Raw genomic sequence first — 19762 nt, 5'->3', positions numbered from 1 at the left:
CAGGCATGGTAGTGCATGCCTCTAATCCCAGCTACTCAGGAGGCTGAGGCAGGAGAACTGCTTGAACCCAGGAGGTGGAGGTTGCAGTGAGCCCCATTGCACTCCAGCCTGGGCAACAAGAGTGAAACTCCATCACACACACACACACACACACACACACACATGAAAAATAAAAGGTCTCCTGCTGGGACACAGACTAGTTAGAGAAAGGAAAAATAAACAAATGATAGTATGTGTATTAATAAAAGAACTAGCAACACCCACTGCTTAGTTGTGATAATAAAAACTGGACATTAAGATAGGCAGAAAAACAGAACAGCCTTGATACGGTTAACCCTTTGACACTGGCAAACACTGTGACCAGTGCTGCCCACACTGGCAGCTCCTGCATCCCTCTTCCTCATGTTTCCTTCAGCATTAAGGAGCAACAAGGGAGACAGCCAGTTCATAGTTCCTTACGCATGGAGCCAAAGGACCTTCAATGTACAAGGTCTGAACAAGGACCCGCAGCCACATGTGCTTCCTGCTTCAGCAGTGCCCCATGGGTCTCAGAGCTACCGAAAGGCCTATCCTTCCGAGAGGTTTCTCCTCTCTTCCAACTGATGTCATATGTCTCATTTTCCTTGTCATTCAGATCATCAACCACAAACGTCCTTGCCTTATATTTTCATATCCCTTTTCACCAGTTACAGCGTTAGTTAACTTATGAAATTCTTAACATCTGTATTAGATCTTTTTAAATTTTCACCCTCAACCACCTATTATTTAGAAGTGAACACAGAAATTTAGTTTCCTTATGCTATCTGTTGACCCCTAAAATATGTTGGGAGTTTTGGGATTTTTTTTAAAGTCAAATGCATGGCATAAAGCAAAATTACACTACTAAAGAACTGAGTCAGGCCAGACGCTGGCGACGTGAAGACAGCTTCTCCTTACCCACTAGGTTCATCTTTGCACTGTAACTCCCAAAGTATTGCTTATCGGTGCTGGGTGTGTGGCATTCATATTCTCCGGCATCCCGGGCCTGAAGATCTGTGATGTGCAATAGGGTTGGGTTCCCCTGGACTCTTTCTATGAAGATCTTCCCTCCGCGGACGCGCTGGGTGTAGATGGCATAGGGGAAGGAAGGGTCCATGGTGCTGACGATCTGCACCTCTCGCTCTGGCGACGAAGGCAGGTAAATGGACCACTGGAAATTCTGCTCAGGAGGTCCCTGGGAGCCACTCACATTGCACCAGATAGTGATGTGGGAGCCCTCCATGCGGTACAAGGGTCCTTCCTGAACGGTGACCTGCCGCTGTGCTGACACCACACCTACGAGGGAGAGAAACACACGCAACATGCTCACTTACAAAATGCAAAGTACGCAGCAATCTCCAAAGGGTTTGTTATTTGTGTGACATGATAATAATATAAACAGCTTACTGGCCCTTTCAAAGGCACTCTGTGATTTATAAATATTAATTAAAACACTCTGTGGTAAAGCACTGTCCCTAATTTGAATATACGGGAATTTGTTCATGCCAAGATGTGCTTTTGTTACTTATTCAACAGCTGACACTTGGGAATTTCATTTAGCCCCTCTGTTTGTCATGTATATGGCAGTTTATATCTATTTATTAATGCTGTGTATAAAGTTTTTAATAAAATAAGCAGGAAAAGTTGAATCCTTGGCACAAATTCAGATGAAAACAAATAAAAGCGACCATCTAGAAATCTGGCTGAAATTAAATGCTTCTTCCTTGGTCCGAGTGCTGGTGGGAGGGAGTCCTGGGAGCACCTTTTTACTGGTGCTGCACCCTTCATTTTCCCATGTAGCTGCTCCCCAACACCACCCCAAGGAGCATTCCTTAGTTTCTCTTCCCTCCATAAATGGAGGCAGAGCTGAGCTCCTGCAGGCTGCTATCGTTTTAAGCTGAGCACACCTAAATACAAATGTGAAGGGCTGAAACAGATCCCTGATGCCCAGATTCCCACAAACTGACAAAGGGGGGAACTAACAGTGCCCAGCTAAACCTGTGACAAGGACAGTCAGGCTACCCTTGAGTTTCCCACTCAAGACTCTCCCACTGACCTCCTGCCTTCTGGCTCAGATACTGTTCTCCAAGGTCACTTCTGCCTGCCTTCTGCATGTTCTTCTTAAAGTGGCATGGTGAGTTTAAGTTCTCATTTCATGCCAACTCAACACTGATTGTGCCTGAGCCACTCAGAAGGTGGGAGGGGGCACACCGCTGCCTCTTCATTTCGGCAGTGGTCACCTACTGCAGGTTGTGAAAAGCACAGGTGAGTTATAGGCGCAGCTTTGCCACCAATTAGAGCTGGTTGTGTCATCTCAGACAACTTGCTTTTCTTCTCCAGACCTTGATCTTCTCATCTATCACATGATTTCTAAGAAGGCTTTAGAGAGGACTAGCATGGGTTCCGATGCTAGTCACTTATTAACTGTGGTCTTGGATAAGCTGCTTAACCTCTCTAAGCCTCAGTTTTCTCATTGGTAAGATGGGGATAATAATGCCTGTCTCATAGGGTTATTGAGAAGATTTAGTAACATCTGTAAAGACCCTAGCACAGAGCCTAGCCCACAATCAGTCCTCAATAAAGAGCTGCTGGCTAAGACATATTTCTGCTGGAACATTCTGTGGCTCTGGATCCATAGAGGACAGGATTTGGCCAATGACTGCTTAAGGACATTTCAATGGCCCCTTGACAATGACACCATCACTGGGCTGCCCACCTCATCCCACAGCTGCAGCCCATTCTTGTGATAGCTTCCCTTTTCCCCCACAAATGGGAATGGCGGCTGCCCTGGCTATGCCTATCTGAAGTGGATCCAGCTGGTGAACAGCCGGGACAGCTCAAATACTAGTGGAGTGCAGCTCTCTGCCCAGCCCAGCAGGTGACTGTGCCTCAGTGTAAGCTAATCTAATCTGCAAGATGGCAGACCTCAAAACAGCCCATACAATGAAATGCCCATGGCTTGCAAAACTTTAATTCATGCAGAACCTTTCCTCACAAACAAAATCTTACACAGAACCCCATCTTGGCTTCAGCAGAATCAGGAAAAATAAAAAATTGGCAGGGGAAGGAAATAAACAGAACAAGTGGTATCTGAATTTATTTGATATATTCTGGTTGATGGCATTAATTATGATATTTAAAGTCACCATGAGGACAACTCATTAGTAATATCAGTATGTTAAAATATGGTGCATAACATTTTTACTATATGTACAGTCATGCACTGAATAACATTTCAGTCAATGAGGAAACACATGTGCAACAGTGATCCTGTAAGATTATAATGGAGCATATATAGAGATCTAATATATGGCACTTAATGTTGGCATGGCAGATCAAGTAGGGGAAATGACTGATATTTAGTAACAGTGCTGGGACATTTGATTTTCCATAATAAAATATATAAATGAAAATATATATCCCATCTAGGTTTGTTGAAATACACCCTATGATGTTCACACAAGAATGAAATTGCCTAACGACACATTTCTTAAAACATGTCCCCATCATTAAGTGACCCATGACTGTATACACACACACGGTGACATTTGAATCAAATGATTGCAGTATTCCTGAAACACAGAACATTTTGCAAACAATTTACCTACATTCATAACATTAGGTATCCTTTGAATTGCCGTGTTCTATGACAGAGCAACTACAACCAACCCCCATCCATCTCCTGCAAAGAAGGCTGGAGGCAGGTCAGGGTACACCAGCATCTTCAAGGACTGCTTCTCAGTCCTGGACCTAAACTGGAATCACCTGGGGAGCTTTAAAAAAAATAACAGTGCCTGCACCCCACCTGACATAACTGGTCTTAGGATTAATTAGGATTTTTTTTGAAGCTCCACAGATGATTCAAATCAGGTGTAGCAAAGCACTGTTACTTTAAAGTGTCTCTACCTACACGGTGCCAGCCAAGTGCTTAAATGAAATATCTTAAGGCTCTCACTAGCTTTAAGTTTCTCTCTTTGGTAGAGACCCAATCACTGGTTCAAGGAAGTTTCATTCTCCTCCAGTCTTCCCCAGTGCAAAAGAAAAGAGCTGAGACCCATCAGATACTGGCTTTTGTGATGCAATAATGAGTTTAACCAGAATGCATCCTATTTACAGACCTTACAAAGGCACTTGGCCAGCGGATCATGCATGTCCTCCCCACCCAAAGGTAAACAGTGTTAAGTGGCCTGAATGAGCCAGGACAGCAGGGTCAAATCAACTTGTCTAGGCTGGACGCAGGTTATAAACAATCCAGACAAATAAATAACTACTGGATTGCACTTTAACCACACACATTCAGCTGCACCTGTTTATTAAATACCTCCTTAATTTCCCTCTGCCCCACAAAGGGCTTCTGACCCCTGAAAATAATGCTTCTCAACATAAAAATAATTGTTTTCTTCTTGGCAGTTTAATTCCCCTTCCACACATCCCCCCACCATTTCCCTATAATGGTAATACCCTGCTGTGCAGACCTCTGCTGCCTCCAAAGAGACACAGGCACCCAACCCTGACCAGGGCATCCTCTGACCCACAGCCCCTCTATCTCCCCTCTCAACCTACAATAGAAAGTTCCTCCCAGGCAAGGATCATTTTTTTTAAATAACTTTTTAAACTTTAGACATTCTGTACTCTTTGGATTACTCTGCAATAAGCAAATATGACTTCTGTAACATAAAAAGAAAGATCAAAATGTTATATATAACTGCATGAAAAGAACTAGAAAGAAAATACTAGGTGACAGGATGGCAAGTGATTTTTATTTTTTTCTTAATATTTTACTCCTTCCCCCAGTCCTCTGCAATGAGTATGTACCAGTTTTATAACTAGAAAAAAATTTTAGCCAAAAAGAAAAATAATGCATGTTTGCTATATAAAATTCACTACTGTAGTATTTATATATATATACATATTTGGTCTTTGTCCCCAGTTCCTGGCACTGAGCTCCTAAACCCCTTGGAACTTCCTAAGCAATGGGAGTACCTTTTGTTATTTATAAGAAGCCCCTTTTGGCCATCCCAGAGTTTATGCTAATGAGGTGAATGAAGGTGAGCATGGAGGCAGTTTCAAGGAAGGAGCTGGCCACGGTTAGAGTTGTGGAGTTTTCAGCCCCACCCTTAGACCTCCAAGGACAAGAGGGGGACCGCAGATTGATCCAATCAGTATTGGTCAGTGATTTGATCAGTCATACCCATGTAATGAAATCCCATATGAAAACCCTAAATAACGGAGTTAGGAGAGCTTCTGGGTGCTGGAAGCGGTGTGCACCAGGAGAGGGCATGGGCAGTCAGCACTACTCCCCTCTCAGACTTTGCCCTATGCACTAAATAGGACTGACCTATGTGACCAATAGGAAATGCACAAATGGTGGAATGTGACTTCCAGGGCTAGGTCATAAAAAGACAAGCACTATGTTATGAGGACATCAAAGCAGCCATATGGGGAGGACCGCATGAGGCCTCCTGCCAACAGCTAGCACTAACTTGCTAGCACGTGACTGGAAGTAGATTCTCCAGCCTCAGTCAACTCAGTCAAGCCTTCAGATAATGTCAACCCCAGGCATCTTTTTGTTGTTGTTGAGACAGGGTCTCACTCTGTCACCCAGGCTGGAGTGCAGTGGTGCAATCATAGCTCACTGCAGCCTTGACCTCCGAGGCTCAAGTGATCCTCCCACATCAGCCTCCTGAGTATCTGGGACCACCAGCAGACACCACCATGCCTGGCTAACTTTTTTATTTCTTATAGAGACGGGATGATATGGTTGGGGTCTGTGTACCCACCTAAATCTCACGTTCAATTATAATCCTCAATGTTAGAGGTGGGGCCTGGTGGGAGGTGACTGGATCACAGGAGTGGATCTTTCATGAATGATTTAGCATCACCCTTTTGGTGCTGTGCTCGTTAGAGTTCTCACAGTATCTAATTGTTTAAAAGTGTGTGGCACCTCCCCACTCTCTCTCTTGCTCCTGATTTGGCCATGTAAGGCGTGCCTGCTTCCCCTTCATCTTCCACCATGATTGAAAGTTTCCTGTGGTTGCCCCAGAAGCTGAGCAGATGCCAGCATTATGCTCCCTGAACAGCCTGTGGAACTGTGAGACAATTAAACCCCTTTTCTTTATAAATTCTCCAGTCTCATGTATTTATAGCAATGTGAGAACTGACTAATACATAGGGTCTCACTGTGTTGCCCAGGCTGGTCTCAAACTCCTGGGCTCAAGTAATCCTCCTGGCTTTGCTTCCCAGAGTGTAGAGATTACAGGCATGAGCCACTGAACCTGCCCCTTTCCCCCCAACAACATCTTGACTGCAACCTCCTGGGAGACTCTGAGTCAGAAGTATCCAGTTAAGATGTTACTGACTTTCTGAACCACAGAAACTGTGAGATAATAAGCATCTATTGTTCCTTTAAGCCTTAAGTTTGGGGCTTTTTTTTTTTACACCAATATATAACTAATGTAGACACCTGCAGTCCCTAAGATTGAATGCAAAATTGTGTTACATACACATGAGTGTGTTCTTCTGGGAAAAGAGTCCATAAACTTCAAAAGATTCTCAAGGGAATCCAAGACCCAAAAAGATTAAGAAACATTGCATCAGACAATAAATTGTCAATGAGCAAGGTCCTGTCCTTTTAGACTGGGTTTTGAAATCACCCATCCCACAAATATATGATACCACTTAACTAGTTTTTCAAGATATTTGTTGTTCAAAGATGCTCCCACTTTTTCTTTGTGCTCAAGTCCTAGATAAACCTGGCTAGGGGCAGGAGGTATGATTCAGGAGGTAGTGAGCTGGGAGGGCTCACTGTGCCTGGGAAAGCCAGCTTCTCATGCAATTTTTGGAATATGCCTTGGCTCAGAAACCTACCTCTCTAGGCACAGGATCCAACTTATATGTTCAAGATGTGTGACTGAGCATGTGAAAGTGTCAGAGGGATCGACCTCACCATTTTACATCTACTTTTCCAGTTGTGGCCCCTACAATCATCAAAACTCATTCAGCACCATGCTCCTCCAAATTCTGCTTGCGACTCAGCCACACTAGTATCTTTCTTCATCTATAAGATGAAAGTAATACAATGTACCATGTAGCAAACTCACAGGAGACCCTAGAGATCAAATAATACTGTGAAAGCCACCAAATGAATATTTTAAAATTTTATCTCATTTCTGCCAAGGTGAGATATCAATCTAAAAACAAGATAAATCTTTGTAAGTACAAGAACATTAAAAAGAACATTAAGTTTGGGTTAAAAATGCGAAACTGCTTATGCAGGAAAATTACGTTAAAAAAAAAAAAAAATCCTACACCTACAAAAACAACCAAACAAAACATTGATGATACTGGGCTGAATCACTGAATGGTGAGAATATGAGTGATTTTCTCCTCTCCTATTTTTCTCAATACCTTTTCTCTATTATCTCCTTTTTTAAATAAGCAAGTATATATTGTTCTAAACTGAAGATAAATGATCATGAGTAGCACTTTCCCAGGCACTGTCCTAGTTGCTCTGCATACATCATCTCATTTAATCCTCACAACAGTGAATGGGGTCGATTTCATTACAGCCGCATTTACCAGACAAGGAAATGGTTTTCAAGGTTAAGTAACCTTCTCATGACACAGAATGTGACTAAGAGTTTTCTTATTCCATGGCTCACATTAAATGTGCTCTGTGAATATCAGTGAGAAGTAATAAAGCACTGACTGGATCTTCTTGCCCACCTGGTCCTAAAAGAAATGATGGGGAATCTATGCAGTCCCAAGTTAAAAATGGGATCTGAACTGAGCTGCCACAGCATGCTGAATAGGTGGAGTACAGGCCAACAAAGTGCTTCATGGAACTTAAAGGCTCCAGAGGGAAAGCAATCAGGAAGGCACTTCCACAGGCACATCGGTGACAACTTCTGGGGATTCTTACCTGTCAGCCTTCAGCCAAGGAAGGACAGGAAGTGGCATGGGCTAAAAGATCCTCTGTTTGACCTCTTTCCAGATCAGGTGACAGGAAAACACAACACTTGAACCTTTTCAATGAGGACAGCCAGCACTTACTGAGCCCCAGCCAGGTAACTGACACTGTTCCAAGTACTCTGCTTGTATAACCAGCTTTAACCTTGCAACAGCCCTCTGAGGTAAATACTCCTAGTGACCTCACTTTACGGATGCAGAACCTGAGGCAAGGAGTTAGGGAGTAAATGAAGCTGGCTAAAGACACTTGCACTGGCCAGGCACAGTGGCTCATGCCTGTAATCCGAGCACTTTGTGCTGGCCAACATGGTGAATCCCCAGCTCTACTAAAAATACAAAAATTACCTGGGTGTGGTGGCGCAAACCTATAGTCCCAGCTACTTGGGAGGCTGAGGCAGGAGAATCACTTGAACCCGGGAGCTGGAGGTTGCAGTGAGCCGAGATTGTGCCACAGCACTCCAGCCTGGTGAAAGAGTGAGACTACGTCTCAAAAAAAAAAAAAAAAACAAAAAACTAAGCATCAGTCAATAAATCAGACAAAGAACAAGTTAAATTCAAAGAAAGAAAAAAGGAAAAACATAACAAACAAATGAAATACGAAAGAAACACACAATAGAATCAGCCAAGCTAAAACTTGTGTTTTTTTTGGTTTTCAGATAGGGTCTCATTCTGTTGCCCAGGCTGGAGTGTAGTGGCTCAATCACAGCTTAGTACAGCCTCCCCCTTACAGGCTCAAGCGATCCTCCCACCTTTGCCTCTCAAAGTGCTGGGATTACAGGTATGAGCCACCATGCCCTGCTAAAACCTGGTTCTTAAAAAATACATTATAAAATTCACAGACCTTTAGCAAGATTTGTCAAGAAAAAGCATTCAAAAAACAATCTTGCACAGGAGGACTGTACTACAGATAGAAAGACTCTGAAAGGAAGTCATAACTTGCAGGCCAAGAACGATGGCTCGCACCTGTAATCCCAGCACTTTGGGAGACCGAAGTGGGAGGAATGCTCAAATTCAGGAGTTTGAGACCAGCCTGGGCAACATGGCAAAACCCCGTCTCTACCAAATATACAAAAATTAGCTGGGCATGGTGGCACGTGCCTGTGGTCCCAGCTACTTGGGAGGCTGAAGCAAGAGGGTGGCTTGAGCCTGGGAGGTGGAGGCTGCAGTGAGCCATGATTGCACCACTGTACTCCAGCCTGGGCAACAGAGTGAGACCCTGTCTCAAATAAACAAATTCATAATGTAAAATTATGAATACCTTTATGCCAACAGACTTTAAAGCATAGATGACAAATCTTTTTTTTTTTTTTTTTTTTGAGACAAGGTCTCATTCTGTCGCTCAGGCTGGAGTGCAGTGGCACAATCACAGCTCACTGCAGTCTCGACCTTCCAGGCTCAAATGATCCTCCCACCTCAGCATCCCAAGTAGCTCACACTACAGGCACCCACTACCACACCAAGCTAATTTTTATTTTTTTTGTAGAGATGGAGTCTCACTATATTGCCCAGGCTGGTCTTGAACTACTGTAGTCAAGTGGTCCTCCCACCTGAGCCTCCCAAAGTGCTGGGATTACAAGCATAAGCCACCATACTTGGTGAGATATGAATTTCTAGGAAAAAAAATCAAAATTGACTCAAAAAGTAGAAAAAAAACTTACATAGATTAAATATATTGAATCAGTAATGAAAAAACTTCCCATAAAGAAATTTCCAGGCCCAAGTGCCTTCACCAAAAAGTTCCATGAAACATACAAGAGAAACAAACCAACCAACCAAACAACAACAACAAAAAAAACTCTGCCACCAACACAGAGAATAAAAAAAGAAGACTCCCGAGTTCATTTTACAAGGTTAAAATAAAAATAACCTTGATATCAAAACCCAACAAGGCAAGTGCAAGAGAAAATATTTACAGGCCATCATTATTCAACGTGGATCAGCAATTATTTTTAAGATGTACTGGCCAGGTGTGGTGGTCATGCCTATAATCCTAGTATTTTGGGAGGCCCGAGTGAGAGGATGGCCTGAGCTCAGGAGTTTGAGACCAGCCTGGGCAACAAGGCAAAATCACGTCTTTATAAAAAATACAAAAATTAGCTGGGCATGGCAGCACACCTATAGACCCAGCTATTCGGGAGGCTGAGGTGGGAGGATCACTTGAGCCTAGCAGGTTGAGAATGCAGTGATCCCTGATCATGCCACTGTGCTCCAGCCTGGGCAACAGAGTGAGACCCTGTCTCAAAACAACAACAGAAAGATATGCTGACCGCCTGTGATGCTGGCCAGGATGGCGTATGCATGCTACGGCCTGTCATTTCCACTGATCACAATTTGAAACTCTGGACAAAATATAAATAGCAATGACCCAAGTACTCTGAAAAGTAACCAGCAGACAGGTTGGGAAACGTCAAAACCTGAAGAATTATCTGGATGGTGGTGGTGAGAGATCATATTCTGGGTCATAAAACAAACCCTAAAGTTAAACAATTAAAATTCAGTGAATTATTTTCTCTGATGACAGAATTAAACTAGGAATCTAGAACATTTCTAGAACATCCCCAAATATGAGAAGTTAAATGGCGTACTTCTAAATGGCCCATAGGTCAAAGAGAGTATCTTAAGACAAATTGGAAAACAGTTTGAACTTAATAAATATGACATCATCTTATCAAAATATGTGCTTACAGGGCAATTTATAGCACTAAATTATGAGAAATGAAGCATCAAATCAATAATGTAAGCATTTACTTTAAGTAAAAAAAGAACCAAATAAACTCAAATCAGGCATAAGAAAAACAGACTAAATCAGTAATATTTAAACAAAAACAGTAAAGGAAAAAAATTCAATGAAATCCAAAGTTGGTTCTTTGCAAGGGTGGTGGGAGGTGGAAGTCAATCAAATGAGGAAGCCTCTAGCAGACTGACAAAGGAAGAAGAGAAAACACAAATTGCCAATACCAGAAATGAAAGGAATATTATTACAAATCCTGTAGACACTAGAAGGCTAGAATGGACACTACAAAAACAAAACAAACAACTATATGCTTCTAAATTCTACAAATTAGGTGAAATAGATCAATTCCTTGAAAGACAGACTACCGAAACTCAAGAAGAAACAGACAGCTTGAATACCCCTGTATTTATTAAAGAAACAGAAGTGGCACAGCACTTTGGAAGACAATTTGGCAGGTTCTGATAAAGTCAAACGTACATGGACCATGTGACTCGGCAATCCTACCCTTAGGCATTTGCACAAGTGAAATGAAAACCTATGCTCAGACAAAAAGCACTTTGTGAATTCCAGTCCACTTATAATTTATCAAAAAGTGAAAATAGTCCATATTCCTCCAATGACAAACCAATAAGCAAACCATGTAGTATTTATACAATGGATTACTATTTGGCAATTAAAAGGAATAACTGTTGATACAGTATATGAAAGTAGCCAGACTCAAAAGGCTACATCCTGAACGATTCCATTTGTATAAAATTCTGAAAAAAAAGCAATGCTAGAGGAACACAGATCAGTTATTGCCAGAAGTTTACAATGGAAGGTTTTATTCTAAAGGGCAAGGTAATTTTTGGAGTGATCATATAATTTTGTAATCTACCAAAAACAAACATAATAAATGGGCAGATAAGTAAAGTTCATGGATTGGAAAGTTCAATATTGCAAAGGTCTCCCAAAAATGACCTATCAATTTAATCCCAGTGGAAATTCCAATCAGTTTTGTGAAGGCTGCTAAGTCAACTCTAAAATGGCCAAGAATAGACAAGATCACCGGAGAGGAAGCAGGGAGGTGGACACAAATATCTTCTGATTGATGAGTGAAATCATTAGAAGGCCAGCAAAAATACAAGTAAGCCAGAATTTCTAAAGCACCACAAAAGAACACTAGTTAGTAGTGCATAAAGGTATCTCCTAAATTTGTTGTAAACATAGGCCTTTAAAAAAATATTAGAAACTGATATTTAAAGAGATATAAACTCATATTAAGCTTTTAAAAAATTCTAAGCAAGGGCCTCACCTAATTTCATAAAAGGTTGCGTAGAACCAACCATTGCTGCAAACGATGTGCTGCCCTGAGATGTGAGGATCCCAGTGGTCCCTCTGGGTCAACAGCAGCTACCGCAGCTGAGCCCAAATTCTGATACATTATCTATCTACAATCATTATTTTTAACAATTTATATCAATGCTACCCATAAGGCACAGAGAAGCAGAAATGTTTATGTGGCCTCCTGCCAAAAACAATCACTTGCACTTATTTCTAGTACTCCAGAAGACAGTAATAGAAGTTTTTCAATTTAGAAAAACATTTACAGCAAAGAAAAAAATCTCTGTAAACTTCCTGCTTAACCAATCTAGTGAATTGTGATGAGCCATATAAATTCATTTAGCCACCTTATGAAAGACTTAATCCAAAGTCACTTCTAACTTCTAGAAGAGCTAATGTATTATAATCACAGTTGTGAAAGACTCAAAGGCCAGAAATGTCAAGGTGTGGTCTATATCCTAAGTCCAGAAAAAAAAACAAAAAGCAACATGTACAGGCCAAATGATTGCCAATTTCTTCTGCCTACGTCATCTTTCTTCACTATAGCCTGAAATTACATTTCATGTTTGACAATTCTCAGCAAGGAGACAAAACAAGCTTATGAGTAAAATAATAGAAAGCAGAGCCACAGAGAGGACGAGAGGCAGGAGTCATCTCCCAAGTCCAAGTTCAACTTCTATATTATTAGACAAGGCCTCAGTGTCTTTGAACTGCAAGGAATTAATATTGATTGTAGCATGAGTAAAACCTATCTTCTACTCATCATGAAAAGTCACAGTCGTTTTGTTTAAAGACTCCAGAATTATTATAGGCAGAAACAAGTAGGTTCCACACCTATTTGGTGAAACGAGGAATCAGGAATGAGCATTCCCAAGAGAATACAATTACAAAAGTAAAATCACCTAGAGTTTTTGGGCTGCTTAAAAAACCCAGAAAGAAGTGCCAAATGGGAAAATAATCAAATTCAGTGGAAAAACTCACTTGAAGGTATCATGGTCAGCTGGGTTTCCACCCCTTTGTTGCACTTCAAATCCTGTGTATTCCACAAAGACTTGCTCCTTTCTAAAGGCTATGGTTCACATTCAACAGAATAGCAGCAACCACCATGAGCCTGAGGGCTGGCTAGTCTTTAGTATTCTGCCTTATTCAAAGAAAGGATCATTTCCCTCATTCCTAAAGATCTCCCAGGTCCATCACAAAAAAAAAGGAGCAGCAGCCAGGCACAATGGCTCACACCTGTAATCCCAGCACTTTGAGAGGCCAAGGGGGGAGGATCACCTGAGGTCGAGAGTTCAAGACCAGCCTGGCCAACATGATGAAACTAAAAATACAAAAATCAGCCGGGTGTGGTGGTGTGTGCCTGTAATCCCAGCTACTTTGGAGCTGGGTAACTGGCAGAGGTTGAACAATTTGCAGGTCTCAGAAGACAGGAAAATGTGGGAAAGTTTGAAATTCCAAGAGACTTGTTGAATGGCTTTGACCAAAATGCTGATAATGATATGGACAATGAAATCCATGCTGAGGCAGTCTCTGATGGAGATGAGGAACTTGCTGGGAACTGGAGCAAAGGTGACTCTTGTCACCTTTGATAAGATGGTGGTTGAGGAGAGGTCTTGGCAAGCAGTGATGTGTGAATGTAGTGAGGGGCCTGAAAATGGAACTCAGAGAGGACACTGGGTTTTAGAGGCTGAAACTACAGAAAGTCCGCTGCGTTCAAGGCCTGCTTCCACCAAAATCTAGCAGTGTGGCCTCAAACCATTTCATTTCTCTTGGCCTCAGTTTCTACATCTGCAAAATGGGATTTATAATCCCATCCCAGCCCACAGAATTCAGAGTTATATGAGAAGGCTAGAAGAGCTCACCTACCAAGGGACTCTTTTAATGGCAAGGTGGGGAAACTGAGGCACCGAGAGGGCTAGGGCTCTGCTAGCTGTCACCCAGAGTCTGATGGACCTGCGATGAGAAACCAGAACTCCTGCCCCTAGTTCCCCCGGCTTTCCTCAGCCTGGGGAGTGAGTGCGGTGAGATAGAAAGGGCAAGCCCTCCTGCTGTTTCTCTCTGGACAGGGGCGGGATGCTGGGTGAAGGGTGAAAGGAAGAGGCTGGAGAAGGGAGAAAAGCTCCAGCTCACACTAAGTCTGAAATTTTTTAAAATGCGGACTCCGTGGCCCCTCCCTTACCCACCCCAATCCTCTCTGAAGTCCTGGTTGTGAGGGGCCAAGTCCCAAAGTCTGCTGCTCCGCCTCTCTGTGTGCAGAGCCATGGGGCCTTCACAGGCTGCAGTGGGTCCCGAGCCCCCAGGGCTGTGCCTGCTGGTCCTGACCAAGATCGCGGCTGCCGAGGTCAGTCCAGCGCCAAGGGCACAGGGCCAGGGCAGGCGGGGCAGGGCTACCCGAAGCGCATAGAGGCTGCTGGTGTCAACGTGATGTCTTCTGGGGCGCCTGGCATCCCTAGGAGTGGAAGCCGCTGATGAAGTCAAAGCTGCCTCCTCCTTCAGGAAGACTTTGCTCCCATAGCTGGCGAACAGGAAGCGGAGCAGCGCCAGGAGGATCTGCGGGCGCTGCTGAGGGCTTCTTTGCAGGGACAGTGCAGCAGGCAGCCAGGGACAAGACTGCACGGCAGCCCCCCATGGCCAGGGGAAGCTCAGAACCGGAGTCGCCCGCTGCCCGGCGATTCTCCATCCCTGGATCGGTACAGGGGCATTTGGACGCTGTGGGGAAGTCGCGGTCTGGGGATATTGGGTCCAGCCTTCGGGTAGAAGCAGGTGATAAACGCACTCAGGCCAGCCCGGAGCGTCAGCCACACTGCGGTGCCCACGATGCCCAGGGTGAGCGCCACGAGGCGCAGGAAATTGGCTAGGGTGGGAGCTCACTGGTAGGCGGCCCTGGAAGTCAAAGATCTGCTGCTCCAGCGCTGCCACCAGTTGCAGGCAGCAGAAGGCGAGGAGCGTGTGGCACCCGCGTACTCGCCCATCGCTCCGCGGACCTCTTTATCCAACCTTCAATAATTATTCTTTTTATTATATTCAATGATTATTCTACTTTTCATAGAGAGCAGCTGTCAGTCCAATAACACACTTAACAAATGATATACCTAGTCCTCAAGGTTAACAAACACATGAAGACCAGCCCAACCCTGAAAATCAGTTTGCAAACCTTCGCTATATCTGATGCCATTCCTAAAAATTTTTAGGGACAAGTTTTGTTTGTGGTAAACAACATAAGGTGGGGTGTGTGCTGAGCCCAAAGCTGACCAATTGCTCACAATTACTCATAACTACCCATTGACTTGATTTTATCAAACTTCAGACAGTCTTGTCTCCTCTCCTCAGGCCCCTGGACCTTGGCTCACCACCTAAGACTGAACAAGCACTAAAGGACCGACCAGCCCGCTAACAGCTCACTCCAAAAATGAGCGGGACTCCCAGAGAAACTATTTTTATTGGAGCATCCTGGTTTTGCCACCTGCTCACCCCACTGCCTGTCCTTCTCTCCAAGGAGGCTTCTGCCAGCCCTGCTTGTCCTTCCCTAGAAAAGGAAAGCCTTTTCCTGTCTGATCCTGAGACACCTGTAGATTGAGTTTGGAATATTCTCCCTATTGCAATAGTATTGTTGAATAAGTTTTATTTTTCCCTACCTCTGGTTGATTTTTAATTAATACCAGTAAGCTTGGATGAAAGCCTGCACACCTTAGGTGTGTGTGTGTGTGTGTGTATGTATGTACTTTAGCATTATCATGAAAGTAATAACAGTAAAATCAAACAAACACAGATGGATAAGCAATATGTTGGACTAGTATGAAAATGGCATTGCCAGCAGTGATATGATTTTTTTTCAAAATGGTACACTTTTTGAAGTATAATCTTATTTTAACCTAAAATCTTACTATCAGAAAATGCAGTGTACATTAAAATGTTCTGAACTGCTTTTATTCATATATTAAATGGTTGTACTCAAATATCTACAAATTTGTTTTTCACTTATGTAATTGTCTTATAGAATGTTCAAAAGTCTTGCAGAATGTGAGACAATTTTCTATTGAATACGATTGCTTTATCATTGCAAGACATCAAACATCCCTGTTTCCTGCCAAATAAATGTACAATAGCAATAAATGTAAAGATGTGTTTTGTAAAAAAGATATATTTTTGAGTTACAAAACAAGGATTTTAAAACTTGAATTGTTACAGTGAATATGTCTTAATACAGGCCAGAGTCATTTAGGTAAAAAATTACCTCATATCTATTCTTTGCAGTATCACTTAAAGGTGTTTATTTAGCGGCAAAGATTTTTTTTTTGTGCCTAGAGGCAGATATTTTGCCCCATGGCTATTTACGGTATGAAACTGTATTTAAATGAGTGTACATATATAAAAGCTGCCATTCTGGCTGTAAACTATTGCAGGTTATCAAGATTAACAAATAAACAAATAAAAATATTTCAGTTTTTCTATGAAATGTCTTTACTCGAGTCCAAATGTAGAGATATAAAATGCTTGAAATTCATAAAACCAAGTGTTTCACATATTTCAGTTGTGATGGCCTTTGTCCTACTTTTGTTAGTGAAGCAGGCAGACTGCATTTTTTCCCTCTCATACATCTTCAAATGGTAGACAGAAAAATTTGATAAAACTTCTAGGGCATTATCTGATGAAACACATTAAACACTAAAGGAGAAATACAACTTCATTGTTTATAAAAGACGTATAAGAAGGAAACCTGCATACATATATCTATCAGTTTTGTATTTTCAAGAAATATTTGCCTTAAAATGAACTTCATTAGAATATGTGTTCTCCCACAGAGCCAAGGAAAGTAAGTTAGACACAGGATCTGGAAGTCTACCTGTGTGATGTAATTGCATTGAAAACATTCCACAAATAATGCAGAAATGTATCATTGTGACCCAAAATATTCTCTAAATTTTCTCAAAGCAATGTGGCCACATCTATTATCTTTTACTATGACTAGTCATCATTCCATGCATTTGAACATTACCTCACCCATTTGCAGCCTCCTATCTCTGCAATTAATTATGGCTAACATTCTCAGCAGTCCAAACATCTTGCAAGTGACAGCTTGAAAAGGCCTACCAGAATGATGTTCACTCTGCCACCTGACTAGCTTGTCTTCCATCTAGACATTGCAGTATGTAGAAGAGTGCTTTTAGTATTATAAATTTGATCCAACACGTGTTCAATTAGATGAAATCTTAAATATTGCACTACATGTGAATTGGGAAAATGTTAATTTGCTTCTGTAGTTTTAAGTGTATTCTCAGAGGCAGATGAAGACATATTACATCACTGAGTTCAAGAAATAAAGTAAATAGAAGAAAAAAGGTGTTATTTTAGTTTGGTTATGTTTATATTTGAAGTTTTCTTTTCCAGATTTAGGAGAACCTACTAAATACACTGAAAAAAATGTGGTAGCCCTAGGTTAAATATCATACCTTATTTTTTGTTTATTAATTCCAGGGTAGAGTAGAAAAATATGCTCTCATATAATATAAAAATGATATGGGGAAAAGAAGTAAAAAATTAACTTAGAGACACCATTAATTAATTTCTTTTATAAATGAAACACTAGATAGTTTCTATTTGTTTTGACAAATAGATAATATATTTAGAATCAATGCTTTATTTCTTGGAAAGTGGAGTGAAAAATTTAAATGTAGTATTCAGATTGTATTATAACTGTGCACTACAGATCACATACATTTGTCTTTTCTTTGTATTAGACATTATTTAATGGTAAGCATCCTTTCAAGGGCTATTTTATATAAGTAGTAAGGTATCTGGAATTTCTGAAATAATAAAAGTGACCTAAATCACTGTGTTTGGTAAATTCACAATACCCAAATAGCAGGAGGGGAGTGCTAGAGGTAGGGAGGAGAATGCTCATGTTCTCATTATTCCCAAACAGATTCTTAAAGTCTTCTCACTGGACACATGGATGCACCTCTGTAATACCCAATGTCTTAGCCACAACTGTCTGCACTTTTTAATGAGATACATTTCAACATTATTCCTTGTCACCTCAATATCAGATACTTTCTCATGTAATCTTTTACTTCTGAGGAGTTGAATTCTTGATCCATAAACTGAATCCATAGCTATGCATCTGTGGATGTTTTTAAATTATGTGAAAATTTTGTATATGCATTTTTCAGGGGAAAGTATCAGATCACCCACCTGGTGATTGTAACAAAAACAATCATTCCTGTTGATATTTAAGTCTTAATTAATTCAGAAAAATTTGCACATACCCTAAGGTCAGATAGTATTTTGTACCCTACATATAAAAACTCCTTTTTTTTTTTTTGAGATGGAGTCTCACTCTGTTGCCCAGGTTGGAGTGCACTGGCATGATCTCTGCTCACTGCAAACTCTGCCTCCCATAACATTAATGATCACTGATCACAGATCACCGTAACGAATATAATAATAAGGAAATATTTTAAAAATTGTGAAGATTACCAAAGTGTGAAACCAAGACACAAAGTGAGCACAGGCTGTTTGTTAAATGGCACCAATAGACTTGCTTCACCAGGGTTGTCAAAAACATCTCATTTGTAAATAAAGAAAAAATGTTCCTATCTGTGAAGCACAATAAAGAGAAGTGCAATAAAATATGTTTGTATTAATTTGGTTAACTTTATTCCAACTTAATGTAAATTAGTTTTAAAACAGTTTATAAAATTCTTACATGAACCTGGCAAATTTAGAGCAATAATAACATTATTTAAATTAGAAAAGTCTTTTTTAAAAAGGATAAATAACAAATGTCTCATTGGAATTATTAAAGTTGTTTCAAGTTCAGCTCTGAGGTTCTTAGAAACTAAAGTAAAAAAGTATGACCAGTTTCTGAAGTCAAGATAAAATCATACAATCTTTAACTTAGAAAATTATCTTCTGTGTTGTGTCCTAAGCATAAACAAATGTAAGGACTTGCCCTGACACTCTGTAAGTAGTTCCACTCCAATACGCCCTGCAGAAATATTTCCTGGCAAGAACAGCAAGTCAGAAGCCTTTTCAGCATGGCAAGGAGGGAGAGAGACTATGCTATTAAAAAAAAAAAAAAAGATGAGGAGGAACAATAGCACCTTAGACAAGTGAGAAGTTTCAAAAGAGACATATAAGGAGAGCAGTTGCAATTATAAGGAGCAAAATATGGAATGATGAAAAAAGATACTTTAAAGAAAGTTTTCCTCAGTACTTTGCAATGACTTGCCACCTTCTGAAGAAAGCTGGCTCCTTCTGGAACCTTAGGGTATTTGGACCCATGCTTTGGAATGGGGTGACCATCTACATCAAGCTAACTTAAATTCAAATTTGTGTGCATAGGATAAGAATAATTGGGTTAAATAAAATTCACTTTTAATCTAAAATGTCATTCATTAGTTTGACCAACTTTCCTTACCACTAGCCACTTGGTCCTTGTCTTGTTTGACCAGGGTTGTCAAACAAGGTTTGTTGTTTCCTTCTTTGAAGGAAAGAGTCAGTGTTTCTTCCATTCCAATGCATCCACTTGAGGAATTTTTAATAAAATGGGCAATGAATGGGCAGCAGAAGAAGTTACAGGCCTGCTGATCAAATGCTAAGTAATAAACCCTGGAAATTCTAAACTCGTTTGCATGAAGACCTTGCTTATTTTGTAACTATTATGTATTATCAAATGTATACTTAATTCTTTGAATGTGTTAGTATGTGTTCAAAGTA

General features: G+C 41.2%; 2 pseudogenes, besides 1 other annotated feature; both read right to left on the bottom strand.

The window, feature by feature from the left end:
* Positions 1 to 1317, bottom strand: part of IGSF3P2 (IGSF3 pseudogene 2) — a 30792-nt pseudogene extending 29475 nt beyond the window's left edge.
* Positions 3893 to 4443: an enhancer, noted in NCBI's record as "NANOG hESC enhancer chr2:91921621-91922171 (GRCh37/hg19 assembly coordinates)". NCBI's record gives its function as "activates a minimal SCP1, AML or CMV promoter by ChIP-STARR-seq in naive H9 embryonic stem cells {active_cell/tissue: H9 hESC(naive)}" and the evidence as "EXISTENCE:reporter gene assay evidence [ECO:0000049][PMID:30033119]".
* NKAIN1P2 (NKAIN1 pseudogene 2) lies at positions 13687 to 15025 on the bottom strand (annotated as a pseudogene).

The sequence above is a fragment of the Homo sapiens genome, chromosome 2, assembly GCF_000001405.40.
Source record: "Homo sapiens chromosome 2, GRCh38.p14 Primary Assembly".
Classification (NCBI taxonomy): Eukaryota; Metazoa; Chordata; class Mammalia; order Primates; family Hominidae; genus Homo; species Homo sapiens.
This window is presented reverse-complemented; position numbering and strand designations above follow the sequence as displayed.